The sequence below is a fragment of the Homo sapiens genome, chromosome 1 (genome assembly GCF_000001405.40).
Source record: "Homo sapiens chromosome 1, GRCh38.p14 Primary Assembly".
Lineage (NCBI taxonomy): Eukaryota > Metazoa > Chordata > Mammalia > Primates > Hominidae > Homo > Homo sapiens.
Genome location: NC_000001.11, coordinates 241752034 through 241769531, shown reverse-complemented (window position 1 = coordinate 241769531; position 17498 = coordinate 241752034). Strand labels below are relative to the sequence as shown.

The 17498-nt window shown below is 37.4% G+C and overlaps 1 protein-coding gene across 7 annotated transcripts in view; it reads right to left on the bottom strand.

Moving 5' to 3' along the window:
- Positions 1 to 17498, bottom strand: part of WDR64 (WD repeat domain 64) — a 150497-nt gene that overhangs the window by 33246 nt on the left and 99753 nt on the right. For all 7 annotated transcript variants that reach the window (NM_001367482.1, XM_011544087.3, XM_011544091.2 and 4 more), the window contains 3 exons: positions 12073 to 12249; positions 3181 to 3314; positions 27 to 128 (listed from right to left, as the gene is read on the bottom strand). In NM_001367482.1, the coding sequence (NP_001354411.1) occupies positions 27 to 128; positions 3181 to 3314; positions 12073 to 12249 (413 nt within the window). The remainder of the gene's footprint in view (positions 1 to 26; positions 129 to 3180; positions 3315 to 12072; positions 12250 to 17498) is intronic.

The window sequence follows — 17498 nt, the reverse complement described above, 5'->3', positions numbered from 1 at the left end:
TACTGGTTCAGTAAGTAACGAGTTACCTTGCACATTCAGGGGTACGAAAGAGGAACAGTATGTCATTAATTTTAAAGTGCTTGGGATGCAAGTCAGGGTTTACAGTGAAGCAATCTTCAGGTCGGTACCTAGAAGTAAGTATACATTTATATGAGAAAAAATTCACAAATTATGGAGCTTACAGTACTAAGATTGTATATCCTCTGCAGAGCTAGGCAATTCCTCAAATGCTAATATTATTGAACATGAAAAGAAAATGCAAGGAAGTAGAGTTTGAACATAGCTTTTTTAGCAAGGTTCTGTTAAATCATGATCCTCAACGGTTTAAAAGTCTTTTAATTCAACTAACCTGTCTAATCTTCCTACCTTTAGATCAGAGAATGGACTTCTACAAAATCCTATGGAAAAAACTCTATTTTATTTTACTTTTAGAGATGGGGGCCAACTATGTTGCCCAGACTGGTCTTGAACTCCTGGGCTCAAGCGATCCTCCTGCCTCAGCCTCCCAAAGTGCTGGGATTACTGATGGGAGCCACCACGCCGGGCTGGTTTCATACAGTTTAAATAATAGAGTTCTAATATTTTTTAAATAAGTGGAGTAATAAATTTGAATAAAATATTATTACCCTTAAAGAGCTTATAATGGAGTGGAGAAGAACAGGTAGTCCAGTGAGGACCCTGCTCTTGCTGCTCCAGTCTCCTGTTGACCCAGATTCCAAGGTCAACACTGAACTTTGTAGGCACCATCCTAGGAACAGGGGAATAGTCCCTAAATGCCTGCACTGAAACATCATGCCTGGCTCTTAAAGCTGCATTTAACATTCATTATAGCAAATAGACCTTACAGCAAAATTTCCCCTGTTTCTTCAGTGGAAATTACTTCTGCAAGAGATGAAGGGGCCTCCTGGAAAGTGAACCCAAGCTCAAAAGAGAAGTCTACAAGCTTGATGACTTGTTGAACTCAAATTTTTTAAGAGATTTCTGTTGTGCAGATGAGCTGAATCATGAAGTGGATTATTAATTAGCAAGAATAATATTAAGTCTGGGCTCAAAAAGCCTGAGGCTTAGAGTGGGAAGAGAAGAGTTATTTCCTCTGACTGGTGAAGGGGTCTTAGGTGAAGTTTGTGGTAGACAAAGAGATGGACTCTACTGCAAATATGGAAACCATTTTCAGTTTCAGAACTTTTAAACCTGGGCCTAAATGACCTTCCACAGATCTGTGCTAAATCATATGTTTTGCAAAATACTGCACTGATTATAAATCAATTGTCTTATATAATCATCTGCCTATAGGAAAGGGACACTGTGTATGACCCACACTATACTTGGTTGTTTTCCTCTGATTGGATGTTGGATATGCATGCATCCCTTGGCAAAATAACAAGGCACTTTAACAAGGAGGATCTTCACCTTTAAAGTGGGATTATTATCACGGGTGTTGCCCCCCTCTTTAGGCTGTGGCATCAAGATAATGGTCTTCTTAGTCTATCTGATTTCCCTTCTTAGGAAAGAGTCATACACAAGCTGACACAGCGTGAAAGCATTAGCAAGAAGGAGGGGAAGTTTGCAGTGCAGACAGGTGTAGGTATCAAGTGGCAGGTAGACAATGTGTGAGAAAAGGCTGGGGGCATGGGCTGAAGTGAAGGAACAGAAGGATGACAGGAATTCCAGGGGCAGGATCCAGGAGTATGTGGACTGAGGTGCAGAAAGGGGGGTCTGCAGAAACAGCTATTTCAATTAAAGGTTCAAAGAGAAGAAATCCATAGTCCAAGCAATAAATGATTATTTCCTTTCAAAAACTGGCTAAAAGAAATGACTCAGGCTTGGATGGGAAGGAGCAGGCAGACCAGCAGTATGTTAAGAAGTGTAAAGAGAGAGGCAGACATTTCTTTTGTATTTTCCTCTCCTTTTCTCCTGTCCTTTCCAATTCTCCCTTCTCTCCTCTTTTATATCTCTTCCCGTCCCCCAAATGCTTAGATAAACTTGATTTTATTTTCATTTATTATTAAGGTTCTTGGCCATCTTGTATCTGTAAGTAAAATTTTCCAAACCCCCTTGCCATAGGGTGGCCACACATGGCCCTTGCACACGTTCCAATTACACAGCTGGGGAGAACTTATTACTTACAATCCATCCAAACAAATCATTCAGTGTTACTTTAGTTCCTTCTCAACAAATGCAAAAAAAAAAAAACATTGAGAAGTGGATGGTATGGGGAGGGTAAGATCTTGGCCATAGTCCAGGGTAAATCTAATTGGTTGAGAGGAATAATTGCATCTACAACATTGGCCCTTGTTAGCCCCAATCTGTAATAAATCAGACGTGTTGAGGTGGTGAATGAGAAGGATATGCTACCCAGGAGTCTTCTCACCATGTGACTTTGGTGGCTGAGTAGATGGTGGTGGCACTGGGGATACAGGAAGGGGAGAAGTTTGGGAGCGGGGAGTAGGTTGGGAAGATGTTTCAGGCATGTAGGGCTTTGAGGGTCTTGGTAACAATCAGATGAAAATTGCCAATAGGCAATTGGTTATGTGTGTTTGAAGCTCTAGAGAGATTAGTTTGAAGTTGTTATGTATTTTAATTATTTGTTGAGGTCATAAATTTGGGCAAGATCACACATGAAAAGCATATACTAGTTGAGAATAGTAAAGATCAAAGCTCTTGGGAATATAGATGCTTACAGTTCACCTTACTTATATCATCCTGGGATTTAGACACTTAGAACACAGTCCATTCATGAATATAACTTCCAGGAACGCCTGCCTTGAAAGTTATCACCATTTTTATGTATTGCTTTTTTGTCCCCTGAGGTTTTTTTTTTTTTTTTTATACTGAGTTTCACTCACTCTGTCACCCAGGATGTAGTGCGGTGGTGTGATCTCAGCTCACTGCTACCTCCACCTCCCAGGTTCAAGCAATTCTCATGCCTCACCCTCTCCATTAGATAGGATTACAGGCAGGCGCCACTGCGCCCTGCTACTTTTTGTATTTTTAGTAGAGACAGGGTTTCACCATGTTGGTAAGGCTGATCTCGAACTCCTGGCCTTAAGTGATCCTCCTCCCAAAGTTCTGGGTTTACAGACCTGAGCCACCGCGCCCAGCCCTTCCCTGAGTGTTGCATGCTACTGAGCCCTTCTGCAGTAAAGCTTTTACATTGTTTAAGGATAATACACAACTTACACTTTTTTGACAGTAGACGTCACAAAATTCCATAAGATGATCACACCATTTAAGGTTCCAGCTGCTATCAAATTATATCCTTCTACTTGTAGTAAATCAATGCAGTTCACTCGTAATAAATCCATGGTGGGATTCTGAAGAACGAAGGAAACAGAACACCATAAATATAGTATTCATGATTCGCGGTGCAAACGCCATGTGTACACTTTGTAATTGTCATCAACTTAAAACAAAATGCCTTATTATATATATTTTTAATATCAGAGCATGAAATTTAGTAAAATCTTATTTTTCTTGCACTAAAATTTTTAACTGGCAGAATTCATTAGATCAACAAATATATACTCTTCCTGTTTACTGGCTGCTTTTTCTCAGCCTTATTTATTCTTTCTTCCCAACTTTCTTCCCGTCTTCCTCTTCCCTTCAAACTTGTTGAAAGAATATTCTACGTTCGTCGTTTCCACTTACCAACTTTTCTTTCACTCAGCAAATTTCATTGGCTTCTGCTTCATAACACCCTGTGATAGCTATTTATCATTAAGATCTTTTTCAATTGTCTTGCCTCAAATATTTGTTAGATATCTACTATGTTAGATATTTGGAATACAAAGTCAAGTAGGACATCTGTGATCTGGAGAAACATAATACTTTAAAGTACTCAAAGTGTTGATTACAGTGCAATGTGAAAGTGCTGTATCGGAGGGAGGCACGCATGTAACTTGACAGGATCATAGAAGAGTGACATTTAAATAAGAGGAGAGGTCTATTACCACTGTCAATTACCACTCTCAGTTGCTCTCCCCTTCCTGAAACTCCTTACTCTCCTGACGTCCTTGACTCCAGGCTTTGCTGGTTTTGCTGTGTCTCTGCGACTTTTCTTTTTCTGTTTCCTACTTGGTACCCTCTTGCTCTGCCAGTCTTTTAAATATTAATATTTTTGGGGTTTATCTCAAATACATTTTTTTTCAACTGTTTCTGAGGAATCTCAGATTATGTTTCAAATATCTCAATGCTAGTGACCTAATTATCTAGTCCAGTCCTCTCCTACAAGCTTCAGGCTTATATATTTAATTACTTAGACATTTTACAGGTATCTCAATGTTAATATATGTAACTTATCACCTCCTTTAGGCATGTTTCTTTGCTCTATTCTTTTTTTTTTTTCAGAGACAGATCTCCCTCTGTTGCCCAGACTGGAGTACAGTGGAATGATCACAGCTTACTGCAGCCTCGACTTCCTGGGCTCAAGCGATCCTCCCACCTTGGGCTCTGGAGTAGCTGGGACCACAGGTGGGTGCTACCATGCCTGGCTAATGTTTTGATTTTTTTTGTAGAGACAAGGTCTCACTATGTTGCCAGGCTGGTCTCAAATTCCTGAGCTCAAGTAATCCACCTACTTCAGCCTCCCAAAGTTCTGGGATTATAGGCATGAGCCATAGTGCCCAGTCCTCTATTCTTTATTTCATTGGTTAGCGCTATTTTTCAGTTCATCATTCAAGTTAGAAATCCTGGAACTGTCCTTCTTTCCTTCCTTTCTTTCAGTGCCCTCCTCTCCCAACTGCATGGTGTAATTGCAAGTTATGCTACTTTTACTGCCTAGATATTTTCTGAAACCAGAACATTTTCTTCTGCACCATCTCCATTGTCATGACCTTATATCTTTTATTATTTTATCATTGTAAATTTCTTTAGAGACAGAATCTTGATCTGTCACTCAAGCTGGTCTGCAGTGGTGCAATCATAGCTCACTACAACCTCGAACTCCTGGGCTCAAGCACTCCTCCCACCACAGCCTCCCAAATAGCTTGACTGAAGGTGCACGCCGCTGCACCCAAATAATTTTTTTAAATTTTTAAAAATTTTTTTGTAGAGATGGGGCCTATGTTGCCCAGGCTGGCCTCGAACTCCTGGCCTCAAGTGATCCTCTCACCTTGGCCTCCCAAAATGCTGAGATTACAGGTGTGAGCCACTGAGCCTGGTCATCCTTATATCTTTTAACTAAAACAGGAAGTAGCCTGTTGCCTGAATCTTCTGCCTTTAGTCCTGTCCCTGTCAAATCTGTCATCCAGGCAGCATCAAAGATGAGCTGCCCACAGCACAAATCTGATCGTGTCATTTCTCATTTAAAGCCCTTCCATGGCCTTCCATTTGTTATAGGATGCTCAAGCTCCTTATTCTTGTAAGCATGGTCTGGTCCCTACCTATTTGTTTGTCTTCATTTTTAACTACTCCCAGTATTACTCCAGCCACACTGAGATACTTGTAGTTATCCTTCACAAACCATGCAATATTTTACCTCCATTATTTCGTTCACATTACCTCTTCCACTTGAGATTCACTGTCTTTTCACTATCCTCTAGAAACTGCCTATCTGAGCCAAGCTAACTCCTGATAGTTCTTTAGCTATAATTCAGCAATTATCCTCTTCAAAAACCTCCCCGTCTCCCCAGCCCTCCAGGATCTCTGCTGTACTTCTACAGTGCAGGTACTATACCTCATTAATCTTGACATTCCCAGTGCTAAGAACAGTGCATGATACGGTGGCAGGTATTCAATAAAAAGTGCTTCTAAATAAAAGAGTTTTAGGGAGAGGATTTCCATGCACAATCAAATTTTTTTCCTAATTGACTTTTGCAAACTTTTCTTTGAGACTGAGTCTTGCTCTGTTGCCAAGGCTGGAGTGCAATGGCATGATCTCAGCTCACTGCATCCTCCACCTTCCAGGTTCAAGTGATTCTCATGCCTCAGCCTCCCCCGTAGCTAGGATTACAGGCGTACGCCACCATACCTGGCTAACTTTTGTATTTTTATTAAGGATGAGGTTTCGCTGGCCAGGCTGGTCTGGAACTCCTGACCTCAAGTTATCTGCCCGCCTTGGCCTCCCAAAGTGCCGGGATTACAGGTGTGAGCCACTGTGCCTGGCCGACTTTTGCAAACTTTCAATCTATAATTTTAAAGTCTGTTGCAAAAAGGAAGTGCTATAATGATAATTATGATAACTACAAAAAATAAAGATTCAAAATTGGAGATAATTTACATTTACATTAAAAGCCTACAAGGCACTTTATTGTGTTTCAATAGTTTATAATTTATCACCATAGTTTTTCTTTTTTTTTTAAGCAATCATTTTTTGGTACCTACACAATTATTTGTTAACTGCCTGGTTCTGACTCACTGTGCAGTCATCTTCTTTCTGTTTTTATTAGCTATAAATAAGATTTCATATATCAAATACATATAATTGAACCTAGTGTTTCCAATTATATGTAGAGTTGAAAAGGGAAGTAGGCTAGAATTGGTCTACGAGGACATGCATTTTGTTCTGTCTTTTGTGCATATTACATGATAACGTTATTATGACATAGTCACTGTGTATATTGATTTTAAAGGGCTTTTAGCTAAGAATAAAACCTACTTATCATTTAAACTAGCAATGAATGACATTCAAATTGCAGTTCCAAACTGACATTTGTTTCAATATGAGGAAAACTAATACAGTATGTTTCCGTTCTATGACAAAATAATTGTTTCCAAATTCCATAAACCAGCTATATTATTATTCTATTTTTTTTTTTTTGCAAGGAAGCTTTATGGTTAATAATAATAAAAAAGGAAATAAATTATATTATGGTTGTTTTGCTAATGTCAGGGAGAAAAAAACTGAAGACTTTTCTCAATTGCTCCTGCTGTAACTTGCAGTTTTCTTCCATTCTTTAGTGTCTGACCACTTATCTCTCTAAAAGCTGAAAAGTGCAAAAGGTTTGATTAGAGTACTATAATATTAGAGTAAATCAAAAAAGTTAGTGAAGATCCTCGTTAAAAAAACAATTGGTTTAAATTTTTATGGGAACAAAAAGGTACAGTTTTCTTATTCTCTATTCTTCAGCCTCAAACATATGCCCCAAACACTTCATCCCTCAGACATGCACACATGCGCCTGCCTTGTTGAGGAGGTGTAAGCATATCACAAAAATAGCTTTCTGAAGAGATGTTAAATTAAGTTGTTGAATTCAACATATACAGCTACTTTACTCAGAAAAAAAAAAGATTCCTTTCAAAATATTACTGCTCATTGAAAATGCACCCAGGAGCTCTGATGGAGATGTACAACGTGAATGTTGTTTTCATGCCGGTGAATACAGTATTCCTTCTGCAGCCCGTGGATCAAGGGGAAATTTTGACCTTCAAGTCTTATTATTTAAGAAATACATTTTGTAAGGCTATAGCTGCCATAGATAGTGGTTCCTATGATAAATCTGGTTGCTCAAAGTAAATTGAAAACTTTCCAGAAAGAATTCACTATTCTAGATGCCATTAAGACATTTGTGATTCATGGGAGGAGGTCAAAATAGCAACATGGACAGGAATTTGGAAGAAGAGGATTCTAACCCTCAAAGATATTTGGAAGGGTTCAAGACTTCAGTGGAGAAAGTGACTGAAGATGTAGAAATAGCAAGAGAACTAGAATTAGAAGCGAAGCGTAACTTGCTGCAATCTCACGATAAAACTTGAATGGATGAGGAGTTGCTTCTCATGGATGAGCAAAGAAAGTTGTTTCTTGAGATGGAATCTGCTGTGAACATTGCTGAAATGACAACAAAGGACTTAGGATATTACCTAAACTTAGATGATTGGGCAGAGGCAGGGTTTAAGAGAATTAACACCAATTTTTGAAAGAAATTTTACTGTGGGTAAAATGCTATCAGCATCACATGCTACCGAGAAATTTTTCAAAAAGGACTAATATCCATAATATATCTTCCTAATTATCTATATATACATATATATATATTTCTAATGTATCTAATATACAACAAACTTTTAAAACATTAGAAGGAAAAGAACAACAACATAGATAGAAAAATTGACAAAAAATATGAACAAATAGTCCATATGTGTATTAAAAAGATGCTCCACTCACTCATTATAAGATAAATGCAAATTAAAGTATACCAAATTATATTTTAACAAGAAGGGTAAGTTTGGGGCTATATTAAAGGTCATAGAATGGTTGTTCATTTTTTTCTGGCCAATTATTATTTCACTATTTTTACATCATGTAATTTTAACTAGATTTTTCAATGTCAGTTAATAAAATTCCAACTTTCTCTTTTCATAGGTTTTTATCTTTTTAAAAGTCTTCTCATTTTGCTCTCACTTGTTCAAGTATAAAGGCACTTGTTTTGATTTCTCATCTACATTTGAAAAAGTTCAAAAGTTTTGACTATAATATACACTGCTGGCAAGGCTGTGGGGAAATAGGCAGTCTCACATATTAGTGGCAGTGCAGAGCTGTGTAACTTCTGTGAAGGGGAGTTTGATAATGTCTAGGATGATTGTATTAGCATTTACTTTTTGACCCAGCAACCAATCCCTCTTCTTGGAATCTATCCCAAAGACACACTGTCAAAAATGGAAACTAGCCGGGCGTGGTGGTGGGCGCCTGTAATCCCAGCTACTCGGGAGGCTGAGGCAGGAGAATGGCATGAACCCAAGAGGCGGAGCTTGCAGTGAGCCGGGATAGCGCCACTGCAGTCCAGCTTGGGCGAAAGAGTGAGACTCCGTCTCAAAAAAAAAAAAAAAAAAAAAAAATGGAAACCCACTATATATATATATAAAATAAAGTATATATATATTTTGTAAAGTATATGTATATACTTTAATTTGCATTTATCTTATAATGAGTGAGTGGAGCATCTTGCTAATACATGCTTGGACTATTTCTTCATATCTTTTGTCAATTTTCTATCTAAGTTGTTCTTTTCCTTCTAATGTTTTAAAAGTTTGCTGTATATTAGATATTAGGAAGATATATTATGGATATTAGTCCTTTTGTGATATAAGTTCCACATATTTTTTCCAGCTTCTTATTAGTGTTTTCATTTTGTGTATGGCCTTCTTTGCCATGGCAATGCTAAGTTCTGGGAAGCTGGGTGTAGATGAGGCTTCCGGTTATCAGGAACTACTTCTTGGAATAATCGTAAGTCTTTTTCATATAAATATAAATATATATATATATATGGCTATTTGTTGCAGCACTACTTTTAATTGGAAAAGATTAAAAACAACCCAAATGGCCACCTACAGGGGACTAGTTGAATAAACAATGGTACATCTATTCACATGAAATACTATAGCATTTTCAAAAAGAAAAATGAAATACATGTACACCCATGTTCATGGCAGCATTCTATTAATAGCAAAAAAGTGAAAGCAACCCAAGTATCCATTGATGGATGAATGGGTAAACAACATGTGTTCTATGCAAACAATGGAATAATGTTCAGCCTTTAAAAGGAAGGACGCTGTGACATACGCTACACATAGATGAATCTTCAGGACATCACGCTAAGTGAAACAAACCAGTCACAAAAGAGAAATACCATATGTTTCTGCTTATATGAGATCCTCAGTGTAAGTTCGTAGAGATGGAAATTAGAATGCTGGTTGCCAGGAGCTGGAGAGAAGGGGAAATAGGGAGTTATTGTTTAATAAATAGAGATTCAGTTTTGCAAGATGAAAGCATCTGGAGATGGATGGTGATGAAGGTTGTGCAACAATGTGAATATACTTAATGTCCCTAACTGTGCACCTAAAAATAGTCTAAGTGGTAAATATTACTTTACGTGTATGTTACCACAATTTAAAAAAAAAGAAAGGTGAAGATCTCTATATACTGCTTATAATGGTCTCCAGAATAGATTATTAAATAAAGCAAGGAATACAAGGATGTAAATAATATTCTATCATTTGCTTAAGAAGGTAGAGAGGGAGCCAAGTATTTGATTATATTTTTTAAAAAGAGCATGGAAACATAAACCAAAAACTTAAAAACAAAAAGAACTATAGGTTAAGAAGGGAACAAGGTGGAAAGGACAGGAATACAATAGACTTTGTTCTGTAGCTCAGAATAGAACTTGTTTTGTAATTTGATCTTAGAAATATATAAATGTTTTACACAACAATAAAACAAAACTGAATTTTAAGAACACAATACATTTTAAAAATGAAGCAAACTTAACTGTATATAGAGTTGGTGGTACAAGGAATTATTTTAAGCAATTTTAAAGCACAGTAATTTGACAGTACATTCCACATGCTATATACCCTAAGGACAAAAAGAACTGCAAAAAAAGGAAGATTTTGAGCTGTGTCAGGTATCATGTTCCTAGTAATTTTATTGTTTTCTGAAACTAGAATATAATGTAATGTACAATGATAGCACATAAAATGACATAACCTGTATATTATATAGAAGAATACATTATATAAATAATAGCATAAAGCAAATAAGTAATGATGCTTGTATCATTAGAAATCAAAATTTTCCGAGAGAAAGATATAAAATAAAATAAAATTAGTAAAAGCCATATAACCTTACATTTGAATTGGGAATATCAGTGCAAAATAGTAGTGCATTTTCTCTTAATGTTTTTTCTTAGCTGTCTATTGAAAAAGTCTAAAAATAAGAACCAACCTACTGGTAGTGGTTTTTTAAAATACTATTTCCCACTAAAAAGAAGTAGAATATATTGGAGAAACAGTGGATTTTAGATCTGGAAAGAAATGTACAAGATGAGCCTGGATCATCTTGTCATACCTGGAAGCTATCCAGAATGTCTGAGGTCACATCAGAGGAACTCAGGAGCCTGAAGAGGCTCCAACCAGTTTCAGATGGGACAGTTTGGGCATCAATAATAATAGTAGCAAATTAAATTGACTGAAACACATCAAGAGCATTTAAATTTGTGAGTCAATAATGATATTAAGTAAACAAAATTCACAGACCACCTTTGGAAGATGCTAGGAAACCTATTCTTCACTTTAAAATTGATAAATATAAGGAGCAAATCATCAATTAGTTTGCTTTTCTATATAAACTGTACCTCAGTGTAACCAAATATTTGGTAAAGGAGAGGTTTTCTTTACACACGTTCCAGTAATAAATGAAGCAGAAAGGCAGTATGGTGACTTTGAATGAAAATAATAGGCCTAGGTAGTGATCATCAATGGCTGCTGAGATACAAAAAAAAAAAAGACAACTGGTCATTATGAGAATCTTGATGGAATACAGGACAGCACCTATGAAGGTGTCTTGCTAAAGAAAAAAAAAAATCAATGTTGTAGTCAATTAAGCCACCAGATTTAACTACCAGATTGCAGGAAGTACAGCGGAACTTCTTAAATAACACCATGAGGGTGCAATCAGCAAAATCCAGAAAGTGGAAAACTATGGCGTCAACTGTCCAGTTTCTTCAGGACATAAATTGCAAGGAGAGAAAAAAAAGATATTTAACAGGTTTTTCCAACCAAATGCAACAAATAAACCTTGTTTGGATCTTGGTTGTTGAAACCAACCATAAGAAAGAAATTATAAGGATATCTGGAAAATTTGAACACTGAATGAATATGTGATGAGATTAACAACTTCTTACAAATTATTTTTAATATATTTTAGAAAATAATGGTATTATTTTTGAAATAGTCATTATTGTTTAGAGATATATACTGAAATATAAAGGGATGAAATGACACAATGTTTGAGATTTGCTTCAAAATCCATTGGTGGGCCAGGCACGGTGTCTTATGCCTGTAATTCCAGCGTTCTGGGGGGCTGAGGCAGGAGGGTCACTTGAGCCCAGGTGTTGGTAGCATGGGCAACAGAGCAGAACCCTGTCTCAAAAAAAAAAAAAAAAAAAAAACAAATCCATTGGTGGTGGTCGTGGTGAAGAGGTGGAAATAAGGAGTAAGTTTGGTCATATACAGAAAGTTCTCGAAGCTGAGTGATAACACATAGAAGCTCTTTGTATTATTTTCTGTACCTTTATATATGTTTGTAAATTTCCATAACAAAAAGCAAAAGTTAAAAAGAAACCAAGAGAGGAAACTTACATCAGTAGGTTGAGAAAAGTTCCTCTCAACTATCAACTCGACATCTGGGAAAGGAATAGCCATGTTCCTGTCTCTAGTAGACATTCTCAGATGCACAGCATGTTTCCCATCTTGTAGGAAAGGCACAACATCAGGCAGCTCCCAGATCACCATGAGGTAGATATCATCTTCCTTACCCTTTAACAGAAATCCAGTGAGTGCATGAAAAGTTCAATTATTTTATTTTGAACTGTTTTAAAGAGATAGAGAAAATAGAACCTACAATGATGTATCTACCATCTAGCTTTACCAAATCTTCAGCCCCATCTATTCCTTGCTTATTAATATAATTCCTCTTTCTTCCCTCCCTAGAGTAACCAGTAATGTGAATATGATGTTAGTCATGAAAGTTTTAATATTTCTACATATACATACATATACTTTCTACATATATATATGATAGTGCTTTCAGACTTTAAGCCATTTTATGAATGCTGTCCAACTGTATGGATTCTTCTTCAACTTTCTTATTTCACTCAATAGGATGTTTTTGAGATTTATACAAGTTATTTCATGGAACTCCAGTTCATTTATTTTTAACTGCTTTATCGTGTAATATAAACATACTACAATTTATTTGTCCATTCCCCTACTGACGGATGTTCAGGATGCCAATTTGGTACTGCTTTCCTTTACAGACAGGTGGCACAGTTTCTAGAGCATGTATCTGGGGTAAAATGACCTAACTATAAGATATGCATATCTTCAACTTTTCTAGCTATCACCAAACCACTTCTCTAGGTAGTGTTTAGCTATGTTCACTCTCACCAGGAGTAGAGGAGAGTTTCCCTTTCTTCATATTCTTGCTAACACTTGGTATTATTTTATTTTCTTAGTTGTTTTGCCCGATGAATATGAAATGGGACCCTTTAATTTTTAATACCCTTTCAAATAGGAAGACAGGAAGTCAAATTGTCTCTGTTTGCAGATGACACGATTCTATATTTAGAAAACCCCATCATTTCAGCCCAAAATCTCCTTAAGCAACTTCAGCAAAGTCTCAGGATACAAAATAAATGTGCAAAAATCACAAGCATTCCTATACACCAGCAATAGACAAACAGAGAACCAAATCATGAGTGAAGTCCCATTCACAGTTACTACGAAGAGAATAAAATATGTAGGAATACAACTTACAAGGGATGTGAAGGACCTCTTCAAGGAGAACTATAAACCACTGCTCAAGGAAATAAGAGAGGACACAAACAAATGGAAAAACATCCCATGCTCATGGATAGGAAGATCAATATCGTGAAAATGGCCATACTAACCAAAATAATTTATAGATTCAATGTTATCCCCATCAAACTACCATTGACTTTCTTCACAGAATTAGAAACAACTACTTTAAATTTCATATGGAACCAAAAAAGAGCCCGTATAGCCATGAAAATCCTAAGCAAAAAGAACAAAGCTGGAGGCATCACACTCCCTGACTTTGAACTATACTACAAGGCTACAGTAACTAAAACAGCATGGTACTAGTACCAAAACAGACATATAGACCAATGGATCAGAACAGAGGCCTCAGGAATAATGCCACACATCTACAACCATCTGATCTTTGACAAACCTGACAAAAACAAGCAATGGGGAAAGGATTCCCTATTTAATAAATGGTGCTGGGAAAACTGGCTAGCCATATATGCAGAAAACTGAAACTGGACCCCTTCCTTACACCTTATACAAAAATTAATTCAAGATGGATTAAAGACTTAAATGTAAGACCTAAAACCATAAAAACCCTAGAAGAAAACCTAGGCAATACCATTCAGGACATAGGCATGGGCAAAGACTTCATGACTAAAACACCAAAAGCAATGGCAACAAAAGCCAAAATTGACAAATAAGATCTAATTAAACTAAAGAGCTTCTGCACAGCAAAAGAAACTATCATCAGAGTGAACAGGCAATCTACAGAATGGGAGAAAATTTTGCAATCTATCTGACAAAGGGGTAATATGCAGAATCTACAAAGAACTTAAACAAATTTACAAGAAAAAAACAACCCCATTAACAAGTGGGTGAAGGATATGAACAGACACTTCTCAAAAGAAGACATTTATGCAGCCAACAAACATGAAAAAAAGCTCATCATCACTGGTCGTTAGAGAAATGCAAATCAAAACCAAAAAGAGACACCATCTCATGCCAGTTAGATGGCAATCATTAAAAAGTCAGGAAACAACAGATGCTGGAGAGGATATGGAGAAATAGGAATGCTTTTACACTGTTGGTGGGAGTGTAAACTAGTTCAACCATTGTGGAAGACAGTGTGGCAATTCCTCAGGGATCTAGAACCAGAAATACCATTAGACCCAGCAATCCTATTACTTGGTATATACCCAAAGGATTATAAATCATTCTACCATAAAGACACATGCACACCTATCTTTATTGCAGCACTATTCACAATAGCAAAGACTTGGAACCAACCTAAATGCCCATCAATGATAGACTGGATAAAGAAACTGTGGCACATATACAACATGGAATACTGTGCAGCCATAAAAAAAGAATGAGTTCATGTCCTTTGCAGGGTTATGGATGAAGCTGGAAACCATTATTCTCAGCAAACAACACAGGAACAGAAAACCAAACACCGCATGTTCCCACTCATAAGTGGGAGTTGAACAATGAGAACACACAGACACAGGGAGGGGAACATCACACACTGGGGCCTGTCAGGGGGTGGGGGGCTAGGGGAGCAATGGTGTTAGGAGAAATGGCTAATGTAGATGACGGGTTGATGGGTGCAGCAAACCACCATGGCACGTGTATACCTGTGTAACAAACCTGCACGGGCCAGGCAAGGTGGCTGACGCCTGTAATTCCAGCACTTTGGGAGGCTGAGGCCAGCAGATCACGAGGTCAAGAGATTGAGACTATCCTGGCCAACATGGTGAAACCCTGTCTCTACTAAAAATACAAAAATTAGCTGGGCATGGTAGCATGTGCCTGTAGTCCCAGCTACTCGGGAGGCTGAGGCAGGAGAATCGCTTGAACCCAGGAGGCAGAGATTGCAATGAGCCATGATCATGCCACTGCACTCCAGCCTGGTGACAGAGCGAGACTCCATCTCAAAAAAAAAAAAAAAAAAGAAAAAGAAAAAAAGGAAAAAAAACCCTGCACGTTCTGCACATGTATCCCAGACCTCAAAGTATATAAAAAAAGATACTAAATATGAAAACTATTTACCACTATTAAAAAAATTTAAAAAACAATAAAACTAATTTTTAAACATATTAGTTAAATTAATCATATTTCCCTGAGTGTTGTGAGTTGAACATTTTTTCATGTGTCTGCGAGCCATCTGGATTTCCTTACCTGTCCTTTGTTCATTTTTCTAATCTGTGGAGTTTTTTTTCTGCATTTTGGGGGTTTCTTTATATATCCTGGTTCCTAACCCTTCTTCAGTTAGCTAGAGTGCAATGGTCTTTTCACGGTCTGTGACTTGTCTTTTCACTTTGTTTTTTTAGACAAGCTTTTATTTTTAATTTGAATGTAATAATGATACCTTTGCCATATCCCATCTGTGGATGTGGTATATCTCTCCATTTATTCAGATTTTTTTCACATCCTTTAAGATTTATTTCCACAAAACTTTTGCATGGTTCTTGCTACGTTTATTTTAGGTACCTTATACTTTTGTTTGCTATTGTGATGTGATCATTTATTCCACCTGTACTATCTTTATGTTTTCTTTCGTGAGTGTGTGTGACAGTGCCTTGCTCTGTCGCCCAGTCGGGAGTGTAGTGGTGCTATTTTGGCTCACTGCAATCTCTGCCTTCCAGGCTCAGGTGATCCTCCCACCTCAGTCTCCCAGGTAGGTGGGACTACAGGCATGCACCACTACACCCGGCTAATTTTTGTATTTTTTGTAGAGATGGAGTTTTGCCATATTGGCCAGGATGGTCTTGAACTCCTGGCCTCAAGCAATCTGCCTGCCTTGGCCTTCCAAACTGCTGAGATTACAGGCGTGAGCCACCATGCTGGGCCATATTTATATTTTCTAACTGGTTATTATTGATGAGAGGCCATTAATTTTTAATTTTTGAATTGTTATATGAGAATAAAAGTCAAAATTTTAAGGTCAATTATTTTGCTTGCAGAACAGGACTCTTTCTATGTTGAAAAGCAGCTATGGAAAAGTGGAGAGAATATTGGTCTAGGAGTGAAGACAGCCAGTTTCTAGTCTTAGTTCTTGTGGGACCTCGGGCAAGGTACATACCTTCTTTGGCCCTATTTTTCTTATTTGCAAAATGAGGGCTTTAGCTAGTTGATGGATAAAAGTCCTTCCATTTTTTAAAGCTTTGATTTTAGGTGTTGCCCTAAGGCCTCTGTTACTTCATATCCATGTTAATTTAAAAGTATGGGCCCATAGTACTCCTACGTACTGGTGGATTCTTTGTTTACAGTTTGTGCCATTGTGGGATAGAAGGAATGAATCTCAGCAATATCTCAAGAGTGACCAGATATTGACACTGAGTAATAGCTTAGTTAGATTTATGTGCCCACCTGGTGGTATGAGTTATTGACAGTGGTTTGTTTTTTGTGTGTGTGTCTTTTTGAGACAGAGTCTTGCTCTGTCGCCCAGGCTGGAGTGCAGTGGTGCAATTTTGGCTCACTGCAGCCTTGACTTCCCAGGATCAAGCAATTCTCCCACCTCAGCTCCCCAAGTAGCTGAGACTACAGGTGTGTGACACCATGCCTGGCTAATTTTTACATTTTTTGGTAGAGATGGTGTCTCACTATGTTGCCCAGGCTGGTCTCAAACTCCTAACCTCAAGCTATCCTCCTGCCTTGGCCTCCCAAAGTGCTGAGATCACAGGCATGAGCCACTATATCCAGCCCAACAGTGGTTTTTAATAGGTTTAACCGGTTTCAATGGAACCTCCTATGACAGTGGCTCTCAGACTTTCTGAATTCACAGAGCAGCAGAATTTACAAAACACCTTTTGAAGATTGACCTAGAGTTACCAACATTCAATTTTACCAAGTGAGGACATGAGGGAGAAGGAGATGGGAAACTCTACTACCATTATTTTATGAAAAGAAAGGCTATAGTAATATAAAACAGTAGGAAAGATATAATCTTAAAATTTAAATGAAGTAAAAGTAGCTTTGTGAAAAGTTACCCTTATTTTCTACATTTCATCTCTAATTGGTGAAATCTTTTATGTTATATTGGAATTGGCTGGTAGGTCTTTAGGAATTGATTAGGAAAACAGCAGTTCATATAATGCTAAGAGCATTATTATGTTAATTGCTTCATAAAGAAAGATCATTTACTTTAAAGGACACAGAAATACAGCTATATGAGTAGATTCATAAAGCACTGTGGTTAAAAGGAAGGGAAGTAAGTGGGTCTTTAGAATTTGAATGAT